Genomic DNA, 1,523 nt, shown 5'->3' on the forward strand with positions numbered 1-1,523 from the left:
AGTTAATATTTCTCTTGACACCTGTGAGCTCAGTTCAATTATATTAACTCTATGAATTGAAAATCAGAGTGACAAACTAATTTCTAAATTATGTGATAACTGGGTCCATAGAAAGAAAAATCTATGAATTTTACTGCCCAAGTGAATACAATTCTGTTTATTATCTTACATACCAACTGTCAGCAGCCTGTGATGTGGAACAGTTTAGATTACTGCTGACATTTGGAAAAGTAAATGGATTTGAATGAGCTTGAACAAGTTAAGCAAAATGGCAACTTGATATTGTTGAGAATAAATTGTTTATTTGTTAATAAACTGTTACAAATACTATAGAAATTTTTGTAAGCTCTTGCTTCTTAGTTTACATATATCTCTGGAGAATAAGCATAACTAGGACGACTTTGACATAAAAATACTGAATAAAACATATTAACATTCCTAACAGGAGTTAAATATAGGGAAATATTCATTGGTGTGTATGAACTCTGCCATTGGGTAAGACTGAGTTAAATTGATATTTCTTATTGGATGCTCTGCATTCTATATCTTGATGTATTATTTAAAAAATAAAAATTTAATTTTCAACAGGGAAAATGTTAAGAAACATGTTTGAGAGAGATATTAATTAAGGTTGGGAATATAATCATTTTTGCTAAATGGATAGTAACCTAAATATAACTATTTAAATTCCTACATTAGTCTGTTCTCAGGTTGCTATAAAGAAATACCCGAGACTGGGTAATTTATAAAGAAAAGAGGTTTAATTGACTCACAGTTCTGCATGGGTGGGAAGGCCTCAGGAAACTTACAATCGTGGAAGGCACCTCTTCATGGTGCAGCAACAAAGAGAATGAGTGTAAGCAGGGGAAATGCCAGATGCTTACAAAACCATCAGATCTCCTGAGACTCACTCATTATCATGAGAACAGCATGGGGGAAGCAGCCCCATGATCCAATTACCTACACCTGGTCCTGCCCCTATATGACACATAGGAATTATTGCAATTCAAGATGAGATTTGGGTGGGGACACAAACCATATCATTTTGCATCTGGCCCTCCCAAAAATCATGCCCTCACATTTCAAAACACAATCATGCCTTTTTAACAGTGCCTCGAAGTCTTAACCCATTTTAGCATTAACCCCAAAATCCAAGTCCAAAGTCACATCTGAGAAAAGGTAAGTCCTTTCTGCCTATGAGCCTGTAAAATAGCAAGTTAGTTACTTCCTAGATACAATGGAAGTACAGGTATTAGGTCAATATACCAACTCCAAATGGGAGAAATAAGCCAAAACAAAGGGGTTACAGGCCCCATGCAAATCCAGTAGGTCAGTCATTAAATCTTAAAGTTCCAAAATGATCTACTTTGACTCTATGTCTCACATCCAAGTCATGCTGATGCAAGAGCGGGGATCCTACAGGTATTGGCAGCTCTGTCCCTATGGATTTGCAGGATACAGCCCCCTCCCAGCTGCTTTCACGGGCTGACATTGAGTGTCTCTGTCTTTCCTGGGTGCACAGT

At 36.8% G+C, this 1,523-nt stretch overlaps 1 annotated feature.

The window, feature by feature from the left end:
• Window positions 636-1,137: an enhancer, noted in NCBI's record as "NANOG hESC enhancer chr4:30106274-30106775 (GRCh37/hg19 assembly coordinates)". NCBI's record gives its function as "activates a minimal SCP1, AML or CMV promoter by ChIP-STARR-seq in primed H9 embryonic stem cells {active_cell/tissue: H9 hESC(primed)}" and the evidence as "EXISTENCE:reporter gene assay evidence [ECO:0000049][PMID:30033119]".

Source organism: Homo sapiens, chromosome 4 (assembly GCF_000001405.40).
Source record: "Homo sapiens chromosome 4, GRCh38.p14 Primary Assembly".
Classification (NCBI taxonomy): domain Eukaryota; kingdom Metazoa; phylum Chordata; class Mammalia; order Primates; family Hominidae; genus Homo; species Homo sapiens.